Genomic DNA, 24,956 nt, shown 5'->3' on the forward strand with positions numbered 1-24,956 from the left:
GTATTCACACAACAAAAAGAAATTCCATACTAGCAGTAACTTCTCCTCTTCCCTCAGCCCTGGCAAACACTAATCTAGTTTTTGTCTCTATGGATATACTATTTCTGGACATTTTATATTTTTTATATTAAGATTTCTAGCTTCCTTATCTTCGATAATGTTTTTAAGATTCAGCCACATGTTACCATGTACCAGAACTTCACTTATTGTGTGGCTGGATAATATTTCATTGTAGGGCTATGCAACACTTTATTTACCCATTCACTCTCTCTTAAATGGACATTTGGTTGTTTCCACATTTTGGCTATATTTGTTTTTGGTTTCCACATTCTGACCAAAAAAAAAAAAAAATGCTGCTATGAACTTTGATGTACAAGTTTTTGTTTGGACATATGTTTTTATTTCTCTAGGGTGTGTATCTAGAAGTGGAATTGCCAGGTCATATAGTAACTAGTTTAATCATTTAACTGTCAGACTGATTTCTGCAGTAGCTGCACCATTTTGCATTGTAACTAACAATTAGGAGGGTTCCAATTTCTTCACCTCATCTCAAATACTTGTTATTGCAAGTCTTTTTTATTATAGCTGCCCTAGTGGGTATGAAGTGGTATCTTATTGAGATTTTGACAACGACTAATGACGTTGAACATCTTTTCCTATTTCATGTTTGATAGCCATTCACATTATCTTCCTTAGATAAATGTCTATTAAAATTATTTATTTTTATCATTTGTGTATTTCTTGTGAGCTTATAAATATTCTTTATACGTCTTGAATGCAAGTCCCTTATCACATATATGATATCCAAATGTTTTCTCATATTCTATGAATTGTATTTTCACTCTTAATAGTGTCATTTGATGCACAGACATTTTAATTTTTATGACGTTTAATTTATCTATTTTTCCTTTTCTTGCTTGTGCTTTAGGCATTACATTATTTTTTAAAAGTGCCTATTCCAAGGCCAGAAATATTTATATCTCTTTTTTTGTAAGAGTTTTATCATTTTAACACATATATTTTGAGTTAATTATATGAGGTAGGAATCCACCTTCATTCTTTTTCCTATGAATATCCACTTGTGCCATTACCATTTGTTGAAAAGATTGTTCTTTCCCCCACTGAATTGTCTTAGTGCCCTTATAAAAACTGGCTTATCTTATATGCAATGGTTTTAAACTCTCAGTTCTAGGTCATTGATTTCTATGTCTATCCTTATACCAGTACCACACATTCTTGATTACTGTGGCTTTGAGAGTTTTAAAATCAGAAAGATGGAGTCCTGCTTTGTTCTTTTCAAGATTGTTTTGACTGTTGTAGATCCCTTGTATTTCCATATAAATTTAGGATCAGCTTTTTAATTTCTGCAATAAAAGCCTGCTAAGATACTGACAGAGATTATATTAAATATGTTCAAAAATTTGGGTAGCAAAGCATCTTGTCAATATTTTCCTCCAACACATGAACACAAGTTATCTTTATATACTGTTTAGCAGTATATTCTTTGTTTCAAAGATAAAACATAATTTTTTCAATGATGTTTTATTGTTTTGGTGAGTAAGTTTTATATTTCTTTTGTTAAGTGTATTTCTAAGTATTTATCATTTTTGATGGAATTAAAAATTGAATTGTTTCCTTAATTTCATTTTAAAATTGTTCTTCGCTTCTGTATATATTCAGCTGATTTGTATATATTAATCTTACATTATGCAACCTTGCTAAACTCATCTATTTGCTGTAGTATTATTTTTATGCATACTCTGAGATTTCCTTAAGTTTTAAAATACAAAATATTATGTCATGTGCAATAGAGACTGTTGTCTGGATGTGGTCCATATACTTTCCTTGATGAATTGCCCTGGCCAGAACCTCCAGTACAATGTTAAATAGATGTATTGTCAGGGAGCATCATGGTCCTTTTCCTTGATCCTAGAGGGGAAGCTTTCAATCATTTATTATTAACTGTGATGCTAATTGAATGTTTCTTTAGAAATACTCTTTATCAGGTTGAAGAAGTTTCTTTACAGCCTTAGTTTGTTGAGTGTTTAGTTATGAAAATTTTATTTTTTCTGTGTCTACTGAGGTGATAAATGTATTTTGTTGCTTGTTATGTTAACATGATGTATTACACTGATTGATACTCATGTGGTACACCAACCTTGCATTCCTGGATTAAATCTTACTTAATCATGGTCTATACATCTATTTGATGTGTTGCTAGATTCAGTTTGCTGGTGTTTTATTGAGGATTTTTATCAATATTCATAAGGAATATTTATCTATAGATCTTTTCTTATAATATTTTTTCTAGTTTTGGTATCAGGGAAATATTTGTCTCATAGAATGAGCTGGGAAGTGCTTTGTTTTCTTCCACTTTTTTGGAAGAGTTTGTGAGTATGTACTGTTAGTTCTTCACTAAATGTCTGGTATAATTCACCAGTAAAGCCACAGAGGTATGGCATATTTTGGGGAAAGGTTTAAAATAATAAGTTCAATCTCTTTTCTTGTGACAATTCTATTCTGAGGATTTTTTGTGTAAGTTTTGATGTTGTATATCTTTCAAATAATTTGTCTATTTTTTCTAGATTATTCATTTTTTCTTGGCATACACTTGTTAGTAGACGTTTCTTATCATTCTTTTTATATTGACAAGTTCTATAGTAATGTCTTCTATCTCACCCTGTATAATATTAATTCAAGTATTTTCTCTTTTTTCTTAGTTAATTTCTTAGTCATTGTGGGCGGCTCATAAATAGCAAAGATTTATCTCTCACAGTTTTAGAGGCTGGAAGTTAAAGACTAGGATGTCAGCTGGGTTGGGTTCTGGTGAGGGCCCTCTTCTGGGTTGCAGATTGCTGTCTTCTCATTGTTTCTTCACATAGTGGAAAAAGGACAAGATTTTTTAAGATTCCTTTTTTATAAGGGCTCTAATGCCATTCATGAAGGCTCCACCCTCATGACATAATTACCTTTCAAATACTTCATCTCCTCATACTACCACTTTGAGGGGTAGAATTCTAGCATATGATTTTGGGAGTGTGGGGCACAACTATTCATTCCAATGCAGTCAATCTAGCTATAGGTTGTCAATTTTATTGATCTTATCACAAAGAAATAACTTTCAGTTTTGTTGATTTTCTCTTTTGATTTTATAGTCTTTATTTCATTTAGTTCTACTATAATTTTAATATTTTCTTTCCTAGCTTTTGTTTAGCTTAATATTTTTTCTAGTTTCTTAAGGTAGAAGGTTAGGTTATTGATATTTTTAATCTTATTTTTTAATATAGGCATTTACAGCTATAAATTTCCCTATAAGCCCTGCTTTACTTGTATTCCGTAAGAGTTGATGTAGTTTTGAATTCATGTACCTCAGAGTACTGATTGGCCTTGTAATTTCTTCTTTAATCTCTTGTTTATTTAGGAGTATGTTGTTTAATTTTTAAATATTTGTGACCTTCTCCTTCTTTTATTACTGATTTCAAATTACATTCCATTGTGGTGAAAGAACAAATTTACATGATTTTAATACTTTTAACTTAAAAATAGTTTTGTTTCATCATTGTTTTATAATTTATAATCTTATAGTCAATTCTGGAAAATGTTTCATGCGCACTTTAGGTGAATGTGTATTCTTCTGTCATTGAATGGAGAGTACTATACATACGTTTCAGGTCTAATTAGTTTATATTATCTTTAAGTCTTCTATTTCCTGGCAGATCTGCTGTTTAAATGTTCTATATATTATTGAAAGATGGATATTGAAATTGGTAATTTATTGTCAAGTTGTTTCTTCTTGCTTTCAATTCTATTATTTTTTTCTATATGTATTTTAGGGCTCTGTTGTTAGGTGCATATATGTTTTTAATTTTTATATCTTCTTGATGAATTGACCATTTTCTATTATAAAATACTCTTCTGCAGTAACAATTTTTACTTTAAAGTATTTTGTTGGATATTGGCATGACCACTTCGGCTCTCCTTTTTCGACTGCTTGCCTGTTCTATCATTTTTTATCATTTCTTTACAACAACTGTCTTTCCATCTAATGTCTGCATCTTACAGACAGCATAGATCACTTTTTAAAATCTATTCTGCCAATCTTTGACTTTTTACTGGACTATTAATTCATTTACATTTAATGTAATTACTCTTAATATAGCACTCACATCTACCATTTCGCTATTTGTTTTCTAAAAATCTTATGGCTTATGCTTTCTGCTATTTCTCTATTACTGCCTTCTTTTTAAATTAAATCATTTTTCAAATATACTATGTTAATTCTCTTGTCATTTTTTAATATTTAGAAAAGTTTCCTTAGTTGTTTACCTGAAGATCACAATTAATATCTTAAATTATGACAAGCTAGTCAGGATTAACACTAATTTAGTTTCAATAATAAAATAAGTTTTACTACTGTAAGCTTCTTCTCTGACTTCTCTTTTGAGCTATTGTCAAATTACATCTTTATGCATGCATGTCAAACAGATTAATAATTAGTTTTATGTAGTTGTCTTATAAATCATACAGAAGAATAATAGTTACACTAGTTGCAAACAAGAATGCATTTATACTGTCCTTTATATTTACCTATTTAATTATATTTACCTGTGCTCTTTATTTACTGCATTTAGTTTTGTGGATTAGAATTACTAACTAGTGTCTTGTCATTCCAACCTAGAGAACTACCTTCAGTTTTTTGTTTGTTTGTTTGTTGTTGTTGTTGTTGTGGAGACAGGGTCTCACTCTGTTGCCCAGGCTGGAATGCAGTGATGCAATCTCAGCTCACTGCAGCCTCGACCTCCTGGGCTTAAGTGATCCTCTCATCTCAGCCTCCTGAGTAGCTGGGACTAAAGTGGTGTGCCGCCACACCTCACTAATTTTTTAAAAAGTTTTTGTAGAGACAAGGGTTTGCCATGTTGCTAAGGCTGGTATCAAAGTACTAGGGTCAAGCACTCCTCCCTCCTTAGTCTCCCAAAGTGCTGGGATTACAGGCATGAGCCACTGCACTCAGCCTTTATTATTTCTTATAAGGCAGATCTTCTAGTGACAAATTATTTTAGTTGTTTTTCTGAGAAATCTCAACTTCTCTTTTAATTTTGAAGGGTAGCTTTTGATGGATACAGAATTCTTGGTTGAAAGTATCTTCTTTCTGCTCTTTGATTATGTCTCCATCTTGTTTTCCAGCCTCTTTGCATCTGAAAATAAGTCATTTCTAAATTTTGTTTAGATTTTTTTCATTCATAATGGATCATTTTTCTCATGCTGTTTTGAAGATTCTCTATTAGTTTTGGCTTTCAACAATTTGATTATAATGTTTCTATGCATAGATGTATGCATTTATTTATAATCTTTTTAGCTTTTTGGATGTGTAATTTTTTAACTATATTTGTTACTTTTGGGGTCGCTGTGTCTTTAAATATTCTTTCTTTCCCTTTCTCTTCTTTATTTCTTGGAATTCCATTTTGTGTATAATGCTGTGCTTATTAATGTTCCATAGGTTTCTGTGGATAGTTCCATTTTTCTTCATTCATTTTTCCTTCTGCTCCTTACACTGGATAATCTCAGTTGATTTATATGCTAGCTTGCTAATTTCTTTTATATGCCTGCTCAAACCTCCTGTTGATTTTTTTTATTTTAGCTAATGCAATTTTAAACTATAGAATTTGTATTTGGTTTTTAAATATAACTTCTATTTCTTTATTGATTGTCTTTATTTGGTGAAATAGTCTCATATTTTAATTATAGATGTGATTGTGTTTAGGTCTTTGTGAATTGTACTAGCTTCCTAGGATTGCTTAATAAACTACCACACTCTAAATAGCTCAAAACAATAGAAACTTATTATCTCACAGTTCTGGGAGCTAAAATTCCAAAATCAAGGTGTCATCAGGGTGATGCTCCCCTTGAAGGCTCTAGAGGAATTTATATTCCATGCCTGTCTTCCAACTTCTTGTGGTTGTTGACAATCCTTTTCATTCCTTGGCTTGTAATTGTATGCCTCTGCCTTTACTCTTGTGTTCATTTGGTGCTCTCTCTATATGTATCTGTGCCTAAATTTCCCTCTGCTTATAAGAAAACCAGTCATATTGGATTAGGAACCACTTTAGTCCAGTATGATCTAATTTTAACTAATTATATAGTTAAAGGCCCTATTTTAACATAAGCTCACATTCTGAGTTTATGAGTGGGCATGGATTTGGGGGTCTTCAACCCAGTTTAAGCATGTATATAATAGTTGACTTAAAGTGTTTTTTGAAAATGGAAATTTTTAATAATATAATGTGTAAACACTGGACATCAGATACTCTCCCTTTCTGGTGTTTGTTGCTGCCACTGCTTGTTTCTCTTGCTGTTTCTTATTAATTAATTTTCCGAACCAGTTCTATAAAGTCTCTGTTCTTTGTCACACGTATCACTGAAGTCTCTGCTTGCTTAGCTTTGTGGTCACCTAATGATTCAAAAGACATTTCCGTAAATGCCTGGAAGCAATCAGTCTTCTAGCCTTCGCTGATGGGTTCTGCATATGAGTTCAGGCATGCCTTCAGGACTCCACCAGGCACTTGGTAATTCTGCCTTATCCTTCACTTTTTGCTTGAGCAGCGCCGAAAGGTGAGCCAGAGGTGAGAGCTTATGGCCATTTCAGATGATTTCTGAGCACGTCCACAGCTGTATGCATATATGTGACTTTCTATTTTCCTAACTACTTTCAATACATGCCCTGCAGAAAGACCGTTGCTCTGAGTAAGCTCTGAGTCAGGTCAAATAAAGGCAAGCCTTGTGAGTAGGGTCTTCCAGGAACCATCAGACAATTAAAATAGTGACGATCCTATTGGAATTGGGTTTTGATGAAGCCCCAAACTTGTTTTGGCCCCCAGTGGCTGGCAGGCTGCTGGTTTTCCTACTACTGTGTGCGAGTTTTAGGGCTGTCATCCCCGGTGGGGGTGGAAATGAGGAGAAAAGAAAAGCAATGTTAACACTCAATAAAATGTGCTGCTCTTACCAAGATTAAACTAGTTTTTTTGAATAAACCTGCTGAATTGTTACAAGCCTTTGGTTAATTTCCCAAGTCCTGAAAGGATTGATTCTGCTCATTTTTGAAAGCATTCTCATTGTTTTTATAGATTGGAAAAACTTCAGAGATCCTTACTCTGTCGTTTCCCCTGACATCCCATTACCATATCTTTTCAGACTAACAAATATTTTCTTTATTTTGTTTTTATCATAATCAGAGAAAACAACAAGTCTTAAAATGTGAAGTATTTAATTATTTGGCTAAGCAACATGCATATCATTCTGGAAACATGGTAAAGAAGCAGGCTCCATTCTTGATCCTGGGAAAGCTGCATTCTTGGCAGTCACTGACATTATACTATTGAGGACAGGCAGGGCAAGCCACCACTAGTTTCATTGTAAAGGCACAATTTATCCCCCAGGAATACCAGGCAAATAAGAGTGGCCTATTCTCTTCTATTTCCAGAAATCACTTAAGCCAACGTGACTTGGATTTATTATTTCTCACAAGAGATTTCTCTTTATATCTTTGAATTCATTGCTAGTGTACTTCACTATGAGATTTCGAATTTCTATTTTGTTAGTCTTTTATTTTGATGGATTAGAATAGACTATATTGTTCAAACAACCTTGTAGCTAAGATCCATTTAAAGTGAAAACAAATGTATAATAAAATGTCATGGTTTACTCTAAAAAATATATTTAAAATTACAATACAAATTGTGAATATAGGGAAGAAAGTTTATAAAAAAATTTTTCTTGAACACTTACTATCATGGCCCAAATACTGTGTCCACATTTTATGCATATATTATATATTCCTCACAACAATTTTTTGAAGACGTTAATAGAATTCCTAGTTTACTAATTAGGAAATGGAGATCTTAAATAAGATTCCCAAAGTTATACAGCTAGCTGTGGACAGACTGAAACTTCAAAAGTCACGTTGTTCATTTCATTTTTTATTAATAAGGCTTTGGTTTTGAAAATAATCTTAATAATAAATGCATCTCCTGACTGTCTGAATTTTCACGAAGTTTAAAATATTTTAAGGGATTTCTCTAATTAAGAGTATGTAGATAATGTTTTTTGAGCTTCCTTGCTTAGATAACAGCCAGAGGCAAAATCTTTGTTCTCAGTGTCATGTAACTAAATTCAATAAAGAATTCATTATTAGGAAAACATAAATCAAAAATGAGATTTGGTATTGACTAGAGTTTGAAAGAAATAATAAGCTGATAGGCATTTTCATAAAAATATAGCAGGTTCATAATAAATGCCTAAAGTGCTTATTGTCTTAATGTATTCATTTTTTAGCCATTTAAATTACATTTTACAGTTCCAAAAGTGGCTAATCAAGTAATAAAGATAATGTTCAAAACTACAAAGATCTTCTTGGCGTATTCTCAGCCAAGAGAGTATTGGCATATTTTCGCAGATAGCACATAACACTTTTTCATGAGTCACTGTCTTAAAATAATTTTCTTCCTAGTGTTATAATACTTCCTTATAGGAATTTTGATTCTGCAAATAAATTTTACATCAATTGATATTTGCAACATTATTTTAATATTAAATAAAATTATATTTTAGTTTTGTTTAATAAAACAACATCAAGATTTGCAACAAGTACTATTACCACTTTCTCACAAACTAATTATAATACCTATTTGGTTGCCATGTGGTTTAGGCACTCATCTCAGAGAGTCAGTTGTGTATAGGGTAGTGATTCTGCCATGGTACCTGTCTTCATTATTTTCAGCGAGATCCGTAAACTCTTTGTGACTGAGTCTCACCTGTTGAACTAACCAGTAACTGTTGCTCTGGTCCACTGAAAAACTAAGAGTCATTTGTATCACGTTCTAATCGCCTTCATCACAAGGGCTATCTTTCCTGCTTTGAAACTTAAATGTTCATCATCAAGCAGTTTCTTGTGTGAGGTACCTACCTTGATAACTACGTTAAACATTTCCCTATTTTTTTCAGTCCTTTAAAGATTCTGCATATTTACTGGGTGTAAGATAATTTTCTCAGCATGAAAAGAAGAATGTGAAATGGTTGAGGTTTAAATACCCATAAGAGAAGAGGAGATAAGAGACTAGTTACTGTCTTAAGCTTATACTTGAATTTCAAGTAGATACTTGCAAAATCTGGGGACTATTGAAAAGCTACTATTAATAATAAGAGAAAATGCCCCCATATAGGGACAAAAATACTCCAAGTGAAGTAGCCATCTGAATGGGACTCAGTTGGGGGAGAAAATGCTTTTTACAACAAATTAAATTCTACTTCGATCTTCGCACAAATTTGTAGTCCAAATTAATATTATAAAAGAATTGTGAAAATCCCAAGTTAATACATGAAGAAGAGACATATTTTGGGAAGTTGAAATATTAGTGGCTTCAGCCAAAGACAATGCAAAAAAGCATTTTGTATGTGTTCCACTTCAGGCATGGCCAAAGATGCTCCTGCCAGGCCAATTTCCCCACAAATAACCACTCGAAACCTGGATAAATTTTTTGAATAGTAGCCTGGAGGCAGTGCAGATTGAGCAGAGGCTGAAAGATTATAGGAGGGAATCAATTTGGAAGAAAGAATGGCATGGGGTAATTTTCCTGTGTTCTCAATTATTTTAGCCTCAATGCAGATTGCAGTCAGCATTAATAAGTAAATCCTTGATAGAAAACCCATACTTTTTCTGTTCTAAAGAACTGGAGAACAGAGTTTGAAATAATCATTTCCACCAGAAAGTGAGGGAGATATTCCAGAAAGGAGATGGCCAGAGACGGGGAGCCCAGATCCCATGCACAAATTTCAGCCAATTAACTAACCAACCTTAAACCATGCATACACAAGGCAGGATCAAAGCACTTTGGAATGAATTTTGAGCTGTGTTCAAAACACAATGTTCATGAGTCTAAAATAATTGTCCGCTAAAATTTAGAAAATCAATACTCTATTAAGGATTATAACAGGATTCAGTCTCTACATCTTCAGAGTATTCAAGAAACAATACAAATCCAGTCAATAGGTGAAGAAAGAATGGATATTTCATTCATTCTCAAGAGAAAAGACAACCTATGGAAAACAATACCCAAATGAACATATGTTGAAATAAGCACATAGGATATTATTTTAACTATTTTAACTACACTCAGTAGTGTAAAAAGAAATATGCTCTTAATAATCAAAATACAAATAGTTTCATCAGCAAATAGAAACTAGGAAAAAGTCTCAAACAGAAATGCAAGAATCAGCCAGGTGCAGTGGCTCACACCTGTAATCCCATCACTTTGGGAGGCTGAGGTGGGCTAATCACCTGAGGTCAACAGTTCGAGACCAGCCTGGCCAACATTGTGAAACCCCATCTCTACAAAAAATACAAAAATAGCTGGGTGTGATGGCATGCACCTGTAATCCCAGCTACTTGGGAGGCTGAGGCAGGTAAATCGCTTGAACCTGGGAGGTGGAGGCTGCAGTGAGCCAAGATTGCACCACTGCAATCCAGTCTGGGTGACAGAGTGAGATGCTGTCTCAAACAAAAACAAACAAACAAAACAAAACAAACAAGAAATGCAAGAAGGGAAAAATACAATGTATGCAGTAAGCACACACTAATTGGGCTTCACAGAATAATAGAATTGACAAAGAAAGGGGTCAGAGAGATCAACAGAACTTTTTAAAATCTGAACAATACCAAGATTGATAAGCAAAGTGAACAAAGCTTCATGGACCTGTGAAATAATCTCTGAAGTTCCAATATCCATGTAACTGCAGTTCCACAGCAGAAGAGAAAGAAAATGGGACATACAGACACACAATTATTGAAAAAAAAAAACTGAACTTTTTCAATTAGGTAAAAGATAAATTTACAGATTATAGAAGCTCAGTAAATTCCAAGTGTGAGCAAACATCATTAAAATGAGCAAGTATGTAATAGTCAAAGTATTTAAAGCCAAAGAAAGAATGTTTTCACAAGCCAGACAAAAATGGCATATTACATACATGCAAAAAATGTTTCAAATATCTTTTTCTTGTCAGAAATTTTAGATGTGAGAAGACAGTTGAAAAATATTATAAGGTAATGCAAGGAAAGAAACTGCCAACCCACAATTCTACATCCAACAAATGTATTCTTCAGAATATGAAGGCAAAATAGAGACAACCTCATACGTTCCACCATTGTGTTTTGGAAGCAGATAATTTGTTTTCTAGTTTTACAGTTCTGTGGATGAAGGGACTTTGCCCCAGTATGGATGAAAACTAAGAGTCTCACCCATACCTAATTTAGATCATTTCAATGATGAGATTTGTAACTTTTTGAGTTGATATTAATGTGACATTTTTTAGAGTTAACGCTTAAATGGGTTAAGAATTTGGGGGACATGGGTAAATGTATTTTGCACACGGGAGAACATGAATTTGGGGTGCCAGCTGGTGGAGTTTACTGGGTTAATTAGTGCCACCCTTCAGCCCCCTAAAAATGCCTGTTCAACTGGAACCTGTGAATGTGACCTTATTTGGAAATGGGATTTTTTGCAGATTTAATGATGAGGTAATCATGGATTAGAGGGATCTATAATCTAATACATGGTATCTGTGGTTTCCTCATAGGAGGGAAATTTGGACATGGACACATAGGGAAGACAGCCATGTGGAGACAGAGGCAGAGGTGGACCTGCTGCCGCAAAACCACAGGGCGCCAAGTACTGTGGGCCACTGAGAAAACTAAAGGAGAGGAAGGATTCTTCCCTGGAGCTTTGGAGAGGGTGCGGCCCTACTTTCACCTGGATTTCAGACTTCAGACTTCCAGAACCATGAAGGAATAAGCTCTCTTTGTTTCAAAACCACTCAGTCAAGGCACTTTGTTACAACAGCCTAGGAAACTAATACAGGAATTGGTATTAGTAAAATCATTATTGTTGGCTCATATGACCATACTCATAGAACTTTTAAGATAATATGTAAATAAGCAACTAAAACAAAAAGTCAGAAAGCTTTATGGTGCCAGATCAATATACAAATAAATATCATTATTTTCCAATAAAAACAATTATATAATGTAACAATAATAAAGTAATAATACAAAGAAACTTCCCATAATAGCTACCAAAAATTCTAAAGTAGTTATAACTAGTTTTTAAAAATAATATGTTCAGAAATTTTATATAAACAAATATAAATTTTAAGTTAAAAAGAAAAAGAAATGGATAAATACATCATTAATGAAGTTTCAATCAAAATTCATACATGAATATTTCACAGAATTTGACAAGTATATCTAAAAATTATTTTAAAGGAGTAAAACGAGCTTGGAATTATTTGAAGAAGAAAGTATTTATCCTTTTGTATATTAAGAGTTAGCCTAAGTCTCCCGGGACTCAATGGTATCACCTCTCTAACAAAAAAGGTCACAGAGATATGAAAACACATCATAAAAAAATCTATCGTTTTATCACACAATGATTTGATCACCTGTGCACATGGAAACAACCTTATTTTAAATCCTTGTTTAGAGTCAATTTTAAGGGATAATGTTGCATGTGAAGCTCCATAATCATTCTTTTGTGTTAAGTGGTTGAGGAAAATATCAGGCTGGTGAGATGTTAATTATAGGTCCAGGGAATAACTTGAGTTAATAAATCAGAGATGAGTCCAAAGTTCTGTAAACAAGTTTCAACATTTCTGGGCACCTGAGATTAAGCACAGCTCTGAGAAGTGCTCCACACGTTCCTAAGTATATGATGCAAGTTTTACTTTGGCAAGAAAATGTAACTATATCTAGTACCCACCTTAGGAACATGAATGACGAAATGGAGATTTCACATTTGCCAGATGAATAGGACTAATGTAGAAAAACAAATCAAACTGTCCTTTACTCTCAGTCAACCCCCTTCTCAATAACAAAAACATCCACATATCCACATTGTCCATCTATTTTAAGGTCAATATAGTATGGATATTATACCAACTTGCAAAAATAAATTAAACCACTTACCACAGGTATCCTCCAACATCATTGGCACCATTAAATAACATTCATTCAGAACTACTTTTAGTGAATGTAGATACTTAATGTTTACAGACGAGGAAATCTGAATGGTACGAAACAAACAGAGACTTGTTCAAGGTCTCACACTGACTCAGCAGCAAAGTCCACATAGGAAGTGAATGTTCCTGAAGTAGCACATTTTGTTTGGACTACAAGACCAACTGAGTTATTATCTTTATTTGAAAATGATTCATGCAAGTCTGCCACAGATGAAGGCAAGCTGTGGAATTCTTACTCAAACTCTTTGTTGTTATTATGGGAAAGCTTCAAGTCTGGGGTTTTTTGTTTGTTTGTTTAATACCTCATATTTGTTATCCGAAAAAAACAAACAGCGTTCATTCACCTGTCAAGCAACAAACGACTCTCCACGAGAATGCAGATTTTGATCAATAGGAGTTTTATTACTTGGCTCAAGTAAGGGGAGCACTGGGTGTATTCTCCAAAGCAGTGTCTCCCTGAGGGAAAGTGGCAGGAGGGTTTTATGGGGTGATGGAGAGGGGAGAGGGTGCATTATCGCATGTAGATGAGGGGTCCCAGCGGTGCAGACACAGTGTCATCATGGCAACACATGGGTTACATGTTATGATAACGGAACTACAGTTCCTCCAGGATGGAGACGTTACAGTCATGAGGAAGATTCACCAGGGTTCATCTCTAAGTTGCCAGGGTCTGTCAGGAGCTGGTTTCAACCAACTAGGTTACTATAGTCCACCCAGGGTTTAGGGAAGAACAGGCTGCAGGGCAGGAAGCTGTAAATCAGGCTGATGGCTCACGTGGATTAAACTCCTATGGTTCCTAGAGACCCTCCTTGTCTGCTTATATATCCTAGAACTGAAAAATAAATTGAAAAGTGAAGTGGTTATGGTGGTCGCACTTCTGAATTCTGGTATGCCCCTCCTACCTCCCCCTACTAAGTAAAGAAAGATAAATCAGTCGTCTTAACAGTATTTAAAACAGCCCTTCCCAAAAACTCAATACATGAAACTTTCTTTCTAGTTGATCTTTGTACCAAATGATCTGGCCAATAAAGGAATAAAATCTTTGAGCTCAAATAACCATGAAAATGCAATACCCGATTTTCCTAAATGCACTTCCTAATGTGAAGGCCATTCACAAAAGCAAATATCCACCCCAGATTCTACTGGGTATGAAACATCTCAATGACTGATACTTCATCTTATCACCTGAAAATTAAATAATTTTATTACAAAAAGAATTAGTAGATTATATTGCTAAATCAAGTTTAGCCTAGAGCTGCCTCCTTACATATTTTAAGTTCAGTCTAAACGTTTCTCTGTAGGTAATGAACTGTAACCTCACTGGACGTGTAAACAGACTGTGACCTACCTACTCTTGTGCCAATCATGGAGTTTCAGCCAATCACAGGCGGCCGGCTGTTCAAACCATGTTTAAATAAGGCAAACGCAGAGCTGTAAGCAATCTAGGTGTTTCTGCACCTCTCGTCCATTTTCTGTAAGTCCTTTTTCTGTTCATAAATCTTCTTCCATCACGTGGCTGTGCTGGAGTCTTTGAACCTACCCTGCCTCGGGAGGCTGCCCCAATCAGCAATTTGTTCTTTGCTCAATTAAACTCTATTAATTTAATTTGCCTAAAAATTTTTTAACAATGTTTACTAGTAAATTTCATTTTTTCTTGCAAAAAAGAAAAAATCCTGAAAACAGGAGTAGGGAAAGATTGATGGCTAAAATTAAATATGGTTAACTTTAATATTTTAACTTATCACAAGAAAATTGCATTGCTTTGGACTATAAAAGTGATACATAAATCTTTCACTTCAGTAGCGCCATCACCATCATCAAATATTTAAAAACTTACATATGAAAAGAAATATGGTGGGGAGGGAAGTAGACAGAAACAGTTAAGAAACTAGGACATAATAAGACAGCAAAATTCCTGTTGGTTTATTTTTTGCTTGTTTCCTTGCTTAGTATTCTCTGATAGCCAAAGAATAGACGAAATATTCTAAGAGCCAACGAATAGACAAAATTGGGCAGCTGCTTCTGGAATACAAAGGTACAAATCCTTAGAAAGTTCTTCTGAGCAGATAATCTTCCCAGAGCCTTGACACAAATGTGATCATTAGAATTTTATTTCTCTGGGTTAAAAGTAACCTCAGGGAAGACAGCACTGTTGAGAGGCATTTACATCACTGAAAATTATTTTGGCATAACATTTTAAATATAAAAACCAGCTTGGAAAATGAGAGACGCTGGAAAATGCAAAAGCCTGTGTACATGGGGCCTATGCTTTAGGTTGGAGAGCCAGGACCCCGGGCGAGAGAGAACAAGCTAAATGACCTGAGTTAAGTGACTTGGTCACTGCTGCAAACTTTGCTTCCTCATCCATTAATTGAAGATAACAAAAGTAAGAACCTATCGCACAGGATGGCAGGGAGGACTAAATTAGCACGACAATGACCATCAGAAAATATGTGCTCATTACACATTAACCATTTCTCTTCCTCTCGTTCCTCTCCTTTACTTCTTCTACCAGCATCACCTCCATTGCCACTTCACAACCTCACTACCCCATTGCTAATTTTGTCTTAAGGCATGCTAGAGGTTTAAATAATAATCAAGTATACTGCTTTTCACTTATCATTAGCAAAAGCTTTTGAACAAGCCTATGAACAAGAAGAAGCTACGTTCTCCCAAAGGTTTTTTTTTTTTTTTTGAGACCGAGTCTCGCTCTGTCACCCAGGCTGGAGTGCAGTGGCGCTATCTCGGCTCACTGCAAGCTCCGCCTCCCGGGTTCACACCATTCTCCTGCCTCAGCCTCCGGAGCAGCTGGGACTACAGGCTCCCGCCATCACGCCCGGCTAATTTTTTGTATTTTTAGTAAAGACGGAGTTTCACCGTGTTAGCCAGGATGGTCTCGATCTCATGACCTTGTGATCCGCCCGCCTCGGCCTCCCAAAGTGCTGGGATTACAGGCGTGAGCCACCGCTCCCGGCACCAAATGTTTTTCTGATGAGATCAAAGTTATCTCAAAACAGTATGTGACTTTTTAGTGTATGTGCTCCCCCAAAGCATCTGAACTAAAAAACCTGAGTGTTTCTTCTTTTCAGGTCTGAGTTTAAGAGTCAGGTAAATACATCTTGTTAAATATTTCTAAATTATTTTCTCTTGTATGATTTTCCTTTAGAAATTGAATTCTCTCTTTTCTTTGGGTTTTGCTGAAAGGTTCATCGATCATTCAAATAAATTTCACAAAAATATTAGGAGTAGGTACAATGGCTATAATGCATAGTTAACAGAGAGATCATTATGTCTGCCTCTGAGGACCTGGGTGTGGCCTCTGATTTCCCTGGACAGTGTTTTGGGCTTCCAATGAGAAAGTCTCTCAAAGAAGGACACTCTGCAAGTCACGGCCCTAGGGCCGGCCATCACCTAACGTCTTCAGATAAATTGTTTGTTTATGGATTCAAAAGCAAGACAGTTAATGAATGTCATCATTCAGTTTTCAGTTTGAATATTGTATTTTTTATTTATTCAGAACCTAGCATATAATATTTACACAGGATAATATATTTTTTATAAATTTTATTTATATATTTACTATATACTGATTATGTGCTGTGCTATTTGTGATAGAAGGATCCCAAATGAATGCAATGTTGGCTTTTATCCACAAAACACTATCATGATATACACGTAAAATATACATGTGAAAATAACAACATTATAAAATAATAAACCGTATTTAAGAAGCAGAATATTATAAACTTCAGCAGAAGTACAGAAGTGTATATAATATGTTATTTCTACATTTCATTCCCAGAATATTTCTTAAAATACATTCTATTTTAAAGGTAAGGGAACTAAATATTTAAGTGCAAAAAGAAATAGAAAACCATTGTAAATATATAGCTAACTCAGGCCAAAAATGTCTGTTTTACTAGTTCTTTTAAATGATAGGTTAGTCACAAGAAATAAGCATCAGATGAACTGAATCAGTTTCTCATTATTTTCTATTCGACAGGTTAATTTCAGGTTTATACATAAGATGAGCAACTTACCAAGTGCTTCTAATTCTACTTGATAAAATGATACTCCCTAAGCCACCTTGACTGGGTGTGAAAGAGGGCAAATAAAGGCTTAAATACAATATATCTTCCTGATGAGATAACTGCAGACCTATTTGTGGGAGAAAATTGCTGCACATAAGCATTTGTGTTTGTTTTATATTCACTTTAACTGTGAAGAGGGAAATGAAGTTCGAGCGGAAGCCATGAGACTCTATTGTAACAGCTCATGAAAAATTACAGCTCAACATCCAAACATACATCTGTCTGTGTCCCTATGTGAATTAATACAGTATTTTAAGGCCAACAACAAACACAAATAACCAATTCTAAAGCTATGGGAACTACTTTCTGCTGATAACTGCAAAAACACAGAAATAATAACATAAGTCATGGAAAACTATGTAAGACCCAAAAAGATAATGGCTAGATTATTTCAACCAAGGCTTGCTTTGGTATTCATAGAAATAAATCTAAAGCATCTGCTCTAATGTATCATTAAACTTTTATCAGATCATAGTCAGAATGCATGAGGATTAAAACTCCTTTTAGCTGAATAAAGCATGCTAAGATATACATCGTTCGTGTTAAGGTAGTAATCATCTCTTGGCTAATGAGCTTCAATGGACTGATAGGCATTAAGCCTGTTTTGAATGCAAGCACTCATATCTTGACAACAAAAGGGGAATATTTTTATCATTTTGGAAATGCAGTACAAGCATGTAAATAAATATGGGCCATGTTAGCTTTTGTTCGAGTAAGGAATTAAATGTCTTCTGCTTACCATTTAATATGATCTTTGAGTTGTTGTTCAAATGAGCTAGGTGGCTCTTAAGCAACTTCCCTGTGTGTTTTGTCGTGAATGCCACTTATTATTATACCCATAAGCTTCTTTTTTACCAGGGAGTATCCTCCTGTCAAATGACCAGCACTTCCCTACTTATTCTTTCCTTTTGTTAAATTTTTAATCAGCTTTTTAAATTCACACTGAAGTATGAAGAGCTACTTCCATCAACGTGTCATGCCTTCCTGGTGCACGTGGATTTTTTACCAGAAGTGAATGAGAGAAAAGAAGAATTTTTAGATCTCAATTAGAAGAGGTGGCAAAGGTGAAGACAATGGGGCTTTCTGTTTCTACCCCATCCCCTGGCCCTTGCCTGGTTGCTACACTTCTCTCAAGTCCAGCTGGACACACACCTGTAGAGAAAGTTACCTACTCACTTCCCTTTTTGAAAACAGGAAGCCATGAATTTGTCTTTTGTGAAAGCCTGAGTCTCCTTATTGGATATAAATTTTGCCTAGCAGTGATGCCACTCTTGTATTTTTGTTTATGATTATTGGACTTCAGAGCAGTCTCAGTAATCTTTTTGCCCCCTGGAAACTGAAGAAATACTTTAAATGATGCTTGAAAGAGAGGAGAAAACATTATGGATTAGATGGGTGAGGATATTGAAAGACAGTACCTTTAAGAATAACTATTGGGATCAATATAGTATTCATTTAACCTCAATTTTCTTTTTCTTTCTTTTATTTCTTTTTTGTTTTTAAGACAGACTCTTGCTCTGTTCACCAGGCTGGAGTTCAGTGACATGATCATGGCTCACTGCAGGCTCAACTTCTTGGGCTCAAGTGCTCCTCCCTCCTCAGTCCCTGAGTAGCTAGGACTGCAAGTGCATGCTACCATGACTGGCTAATTTTTGTATTTTCTGTAGAGACGGGATTCACCATGTTACCCTGGTTGGTCTTGAACTCCTGCGCACAAGCGATCAGCCAGCGTCGACCTCCCAAAGTGCTGGGATTACAGGCATAAGCCAATGATCCCGGCGTTGTCCTCAAATTTCAATGAGACATTACTTGATTCCTAAAGGCAGATTACCACCGTGGTACTGAGGGATGAATCATGTTTAGAATGAGTCTCCCCTCATCTAAAATTATTTTATTGACTGTCTTCCAGGAGCCTCCAAGTTTGCATCACTAAAAGTACCTGGTTGAGGCTCAGCACAGCACTTTGGGAGTCCTTAATAATGGTTAAATTTATGACATGTAACACAACCATCTTTGACAGTCACTACATGAAGGAGTGATTGAATTGCTTTGTAACCTTAACAGATGGCTGAAAGGAGGGTCTGGGTGACTTTGAAGGAGTATGGGCCAGTACTGAAAAGGGGCAAAAAAAGGGACACAAATCAGATCAAACGTCACCAAGTGGCTACATGAGAGTACTACCTACTTGGTTGAGGGGCTTTCAAGAAGAGAAGAGAGGGCTGACTTAATGACTACTCTGTCTCCAGGACTCTTCTACCTGGATCATTGCAAAAAAGAAAAAATTGGGCTACCATAGCCCCACTCCCATTCAGACAATAGTTTGTTTTACAATAGAGATTGCATCTTAATCCATCTTCAAGCATGAGCACTTACCATACCATGTGACTCATGCCAGTGACACAATCAGTGTTTGTTGAGTGAATGAATGAATACATGAATACAATAATATAATTTTACTTGAAGGAGTCTCTGGCATTCCATTTAGACATTCTAATTTCTTTTAATGTAAACAATAGCATCAGTAGAAATGCTAGGTATTCTTTATAGTTCTATTTAAAAAGAATGGAAAAATACCAGCAGGGATTGGGAGACAAAGCCAGCTGTGACTCTTTGTAGCAAGAGGAAAACATTTTATAGGTATCTCTATCAAGTGATCTTTCATTGGAAGAATAACCTCTGATGGTCAAGGCAACTGGAAGGAAGGGCCAAAAATGCAAAGCATGCAAGGAGATTTAGTAAGCCTCAGGGACACCAGAGCAGCCCTGAAGAGCAGGGGCAGCATTAGCAAACAGCCCCTGTTTTGATATAAGTAATAGATCAATCCAATTTCCAAGTCATCTCCATGTAGTTAACAACAACAATAACAACAATCTGTGTCTAGATGACTTCATGTTCTTTCTGGGGCATGCCAGTATTCAGTGCAGCATCGCTGAGAACAACATACACAACACAATAAATCGATTGAAGTATCCAGAGGGTTGGATTTGGTGAGCTTTTCACAGATTAAGTGTCTCTCCATGAAAGAGACACTTGCAAGTGACAATAGCAGCATTTGCGCAGTTTTCTGGTTTCTGATCTGGAATGTTTCAATGCTTTGGAAATATCACACACCCCAAAATGGACTGTTTTGTGATTCCTACTAGCTTGTAATGCATTCATTTAACAGGTACTTTCAAGACCCCAGTAGGTGCCAGTCAATATTTTAGGTTTTAGGGAAAGAGCAATGGAAAACAGAATACCTAACTTCCATGGCTTCATGGTATGTGTGTGGGGGCAGATGGTGGGGACAGAGAGGAGTAGATATATAAACATCAGATTAAAAAGTAGAAGTCATGATTCAATATATGCAATGAAGAAAAATAAAGTGAGGCCAGTGATTGATGAGGAAAACAGCTGTGCCCTTGGCTATTTTTAAGATGGACGTAAAACAAGTCTTAACTGCAGAGGTGACGTTTTAGCCAAAGTGAAGGAAATGAGGAAATGAGAACAGATGATATCTTGGGGAAGAGTGTTCTAGGTGGAGGAAACTGCAAGCACAAAGGCTCTGAGGCTGGACTACTTTGGAAGTGTTGGAAGGAGGGTCTGAGGGCAGGGCCTTGTGAGCCACGGCAAGGCTGCCCTGTAGTTCCTACAATAACTCCTCTTAGGGAGTTTGATGAATTTTGCTGGACACATGTCTATCTAGTAAACATTGCAATTCACTTTCTTGTCCCTGCAAAGTTTTATGAACTAGGACCCTGTGGCCTCTCTTTGCTCACTCAGCCTTCTTTCTTTAACTGAATAATCAAGCTGTGTAGTTGTGTAGGGTCATAGGAAGAGTACAAAGGGTCATCAGATGAAAACCGATTTGTTGCACACAACTGAAAACCAACCATGATTATTCCAATTCACTTTCCTGAAACAAGCTGTTTTGGAAACAACCCAAAAGTGAGCTCTAGAAATGTAAATTCCTATGGGGAATGATGTTGCAGAGTCAGCAGTGACATGAGAGGACACTTCAGGGGCATTTACCTTTAAATCAGCCCCACACATTCCGCAGAGCCTAATTTATGTCTGACCTCCTACATGCGTTAATTTAAACATTACTCACAACTCTGAGATCATACAACATTAATTGCATCTTTTATTTTGTATTTATAAATTACATATAGCTTTACACTAGCTTGTAATTATACTATAGAAGCTACGTGTAGGATAGCTTGTGTGTACTGACTGCAGAAGCACTTGGAAGGACATTTACAGATGTTGACACGGGACTGGGGCTGTTACTGTATCTTCTTATCTAGTTCATAAATTCCATGACAGCAAGGCTTCTTTCTATGCTTCTCTGTATCTGCTAGGTGGATGAGCACAGGGTCTTTCACAGAATAGATTAAAATAGCTGTTGATTGATTGATAGATAAAAGTAGAAAAAAATTATAAATACATGTAGGAATGGAATGATGTGTAACTTACTGCTTTTGCTGATAACTTAGAGCAGGAATCTGAGCTCTGATCTCCAACTCAGTATTTGGTTACCAACAACATAGGTTTTCTTCATTAGGTTTAGTTAGGTGAATTTCCCAGGCTGTGGAAAGATTGAATCACGTATTAAAGTTGAGAAGGAACAAAGACCGTAGTGTGTGGTTGCTTTGCATCCTCCCACCTGAACTACGTGCTCATCACAGTGGAATTTCATTGCAACTTCTCTCAGTCTGGTGAGCATTGTGTCTGGTATTGAAACTCAGATACATGATAAATCGCTTCAAGTTATTTTTAGTTTTATTCTTGGGTAATGATTGGTAGGGAATTATCAAAGTTTTTACTCTGAAAGTTGTGAGAGATTTAGATAGGATAAGCCAAGACCTCAGGTATATGTCTTTACACATGAACTTGAAATATGCTAAAATAAAGAAAACAATTTTACAGTTTATCTGGAGCTTATGCAGAGAGGGAAAACTTAGGGAGAAATATTTATATATTTTGGGTTTTACCCTAGGCAGGGAATAGAAAAATTCAGTAAACCACATTAATTTGACATAAATATGCAGTACCAACATTTATGACATAGTTGGTTTAGAGAGCACATAGTATATATAGTGCACAGTTTATATAGTATGTAACTGCTAGTTATTCAGAAACAGTATAATATTTTCTGCTGAAAGAAAATGATTACAGAAAAAAAAGATTGCTGAGCCTCCCAGTAGGTAGTGCACAAGATAGATGTCATTCAAAGTGATGTGCTTTCCAACAGCATGAGAGTTCTCAATAAACATATGTACACAATTTTGAAATTAGATTTCTTCCCCAAAATGTCCAAATCATATGTTAAACAAGAGACAAATGGAGATGTGAAAAACCTCACATGCTTTTGATTAGGACAAGATGCAGTCAGGCTGGCTGCTAGTTCTTTCCACTTGGATCCTTAATGTTGTAGGTAATTCTCCCCACCCGGCCACTGCAGCAGGAATCCAGTGCCTGTCAACTGCCGGACTGGCTGGTTTCCTGTGGAATCACAGGACCTGCTGAATCTTGAAGGCATCACGACTTTGCTGTCTACTACTGAGTTCTCCAAAGAGTACAAGTGGGTTTGGATATATCACATATTTACACCTTTTGCCATATATACATATACAAAGTTATTTATATATGTGTCCATGTGTTTATGCTCACACACATTTGTACTGTTGAGTATAAATACTCTAAAAATTTTCAAAGTTGTGACAATAAGATCAGGTGATGCTTGGGGTTGCTATAATTTTTATTAGACATCTGGAAGGTACGTCCTGCAATAGAAGTTTCTGCAATAAGGTGCTGACATTTACCTCAAAGTGCTGTTTATTTACTTCTTCATTTGGGACCTGGTATTGAAAGGGTCAGGGATGGCTCAGGGAAAAGGTCCAGTTATTTGAAATTCTTCTGGTTTATTTCGTTGGTGTTTGTTCAGCGTTTCAGTTTAATGAAGTTGTCCTTCCAACTCATTCCTTGAGCTCAGTGACTCCAGGCTTTTTTAGAAAGATTACAAGGCCAAATGCATATTGTATTATATGTCTCTGTCAATCCACAAGGCCTGTGGATCAGAAACGGGGAAGATAGAAGGCATATGGAAAATTGAATGTTTCCTCTAACTGTGTATGTGGATCTTCAATACACATCGGTGGGTCCATGTGGATGATACATATTTGTGTCTTACTATAAGCAGCTGGAAGGGATTAGAGTTTGTGATAAGGATCTGGTTGAATGCTTTCTTCTATTCTGAGAGATGTTTCTGTAGGTGTGTAAATACTGCTAGAAAGTAATTTAGAGAGAAAAGTAATCTATTCAATGGCAAGGGCCGTTAATTTTAAGTTCTAGATGCAAATGTTATAATTGCTTTATCTTTCATGGCATTAAATAAATGAATCACCATGTGGATTGATCTATCTCTCTCATTTACATGCATACACACACACACACATACACACACACACACACACATATGCAGGAATTTCTCCCTCCTTTCTCACTTATAGGTCTCAAGAATAACTGTAGAATGTGCTGGGAATACAACATCCCTGGCTGGCAGCAATAGCCTGGGCTCTGTTCTAGTTCCCCCTTAAAACAGGAAATCTTTCAGCACTGTAGCTGAGATAATCACATGACCCTAGAGTATAAAACCTAAGACAAAGCTGCTTTCAGCAGTAGTGAGAGTGGGGTAGTTTCAGATGAGACTCTTATCTCCCTCGGCAGCTTTCTTGAGCCTTGGAAGACTGGCTTACTGTAAATCCTAGGCCTCTGTTGTCCCTTGCTGCCTATCTGTGAGTGAAACCTACTTCATGCAACATGCTGTGTGTGAGTGTGTTCTGTCTTATGGGACTCAGGTAAGTGGGTAAGCAGGCACCGTGAACCTGCTACACAATATGCAATACATATAATGCACACACTCATGTAGATGTAAGCTTGGGCTGAGGTGAATACTGGAGATACAAGGAAGCATCCCATAGAAAAACCTAAGTATAAATCAAATAGATAAATAAAGCAAATAACTTTCTCCTTAACATGTCCCATATATATTATCTTCAAAAATTTTTGCAAGGTTTCAGAAGGAGCAACCAGAAGGAAGTACTCTCTTCTTGCGGGGGTCACTGCTTACAACACAACTGTGGAAAGTCAAATAATCTTCCAGGTACCTCGGTTTTCTCATCTATAACATGAGATACTTAAAATAGAGTATTTGTAAAAATCATTTCACCTTTAAAGTTTCATAATCTGTTTTATCCTGCACAGCATTCCTCCTCTTTATTCTTTCAGGGGGATATTAGCCTTCCTTGCCTTCCTGCTGAGAACTCTTCTTGCCTGGTCTAGTGCATCTCAATGTCACTGAACACAGGGTGGACATGGCACAGACTGGCAATGAGTTTTTCTTTTCCTGGTCTGGACACAAAAGCATGACTTTAGAAAACAATATATCTGAGGTTTAATATGGGCGCTGCAAAACAGAGCATAAGCCTCCTCTGAGAACGTGAGTGCAAAGGTTAGGGGAGTGTGGAGCTTCAGGGGATGTCTGCTGTGATGTGGGGAACGGTCTGCAGGATAAAGCGTCAAAAGCACTGGACCCGACACGGTCTTACAGGCTCTGCCTGGGCCACCAGACTGACTAGGCTGGGAGTACCCAGCCCAGGACCCTCACTGACTTGAGCCAATCTGTTTCTATTTTTGTTCCATTTTGTTTGAATGACTCTGTGACTTGAATTTGAAACACAGTGAGAAAGAATTTGATGTTCTCTTTTGGTTCCTGTTACTAAAAGAAATTTTGTGAATTTTATAATGTCTTTAGGTTAGAAG

The 24,956-nt window shown here is 36.0% G+C and overlaps 2 long non-coding RNA genes across 5 annotated transcripts in view; one reads left to right on the forward strand and one right to left on the reverse strand.

The window, feature by feature from the left end:
* The window catches only part of MANCR (mitotically associated long non coding RNA), a 27,886-nt gene extending 14,855 nt beyond the window's left edge, over positions 1-13,031 (reverse strand). Inside the window, exon 1 of the long non-coding RNA NR_024475.1 lies at positions 13,010-13,031. This is a non-coding gene — a long non-coding RNA (mitotically associated long non coding RNA). The remainder of the gene's footprint in view (positions 1-13,009) is intronic.
* LOC105376373 (uncharacterized) lies at positions 6,492-24,270 on the forward strand. Of its 4 annotated transcripts, XR_001747338.2 has the most exons (4): positions 6,492-6,620; positions 11,626-11,780; positions 14,364-14,536; positions 24,208-24,270. It is a non-coding gene; the product is annotated as an uncharacterized LOC105376373 (long non-coding RNA). The 4 variants fall into 4 exon arrangements; XR_930595.2 differs by lacking the exon at positions 24,208-24,270 and having other exon boundaries at positions 14,364-14,667; XR_007062036.1 differs by lacking the exons at positions 14,364-14,536; positions 24,208-24,270 and having other exon boundaries at positions 11,626-11,924.
* Positions 24,271-24,956: the final 686 nt, after the last annotated feature.

Source organism: Homo sapiens, chromosome 10 (assembly GCF_000001405.40).
Source record: "Homo sapiens chromosome 10, GRCh38.p14 Primary Assembly".
Classification (NCBI taxonomy): domain Eukaryota; kingdom Metazoa; phylum Chordata; class Mammalia; order Primates; family Hominidae; genus Homo; species Homo sapiens.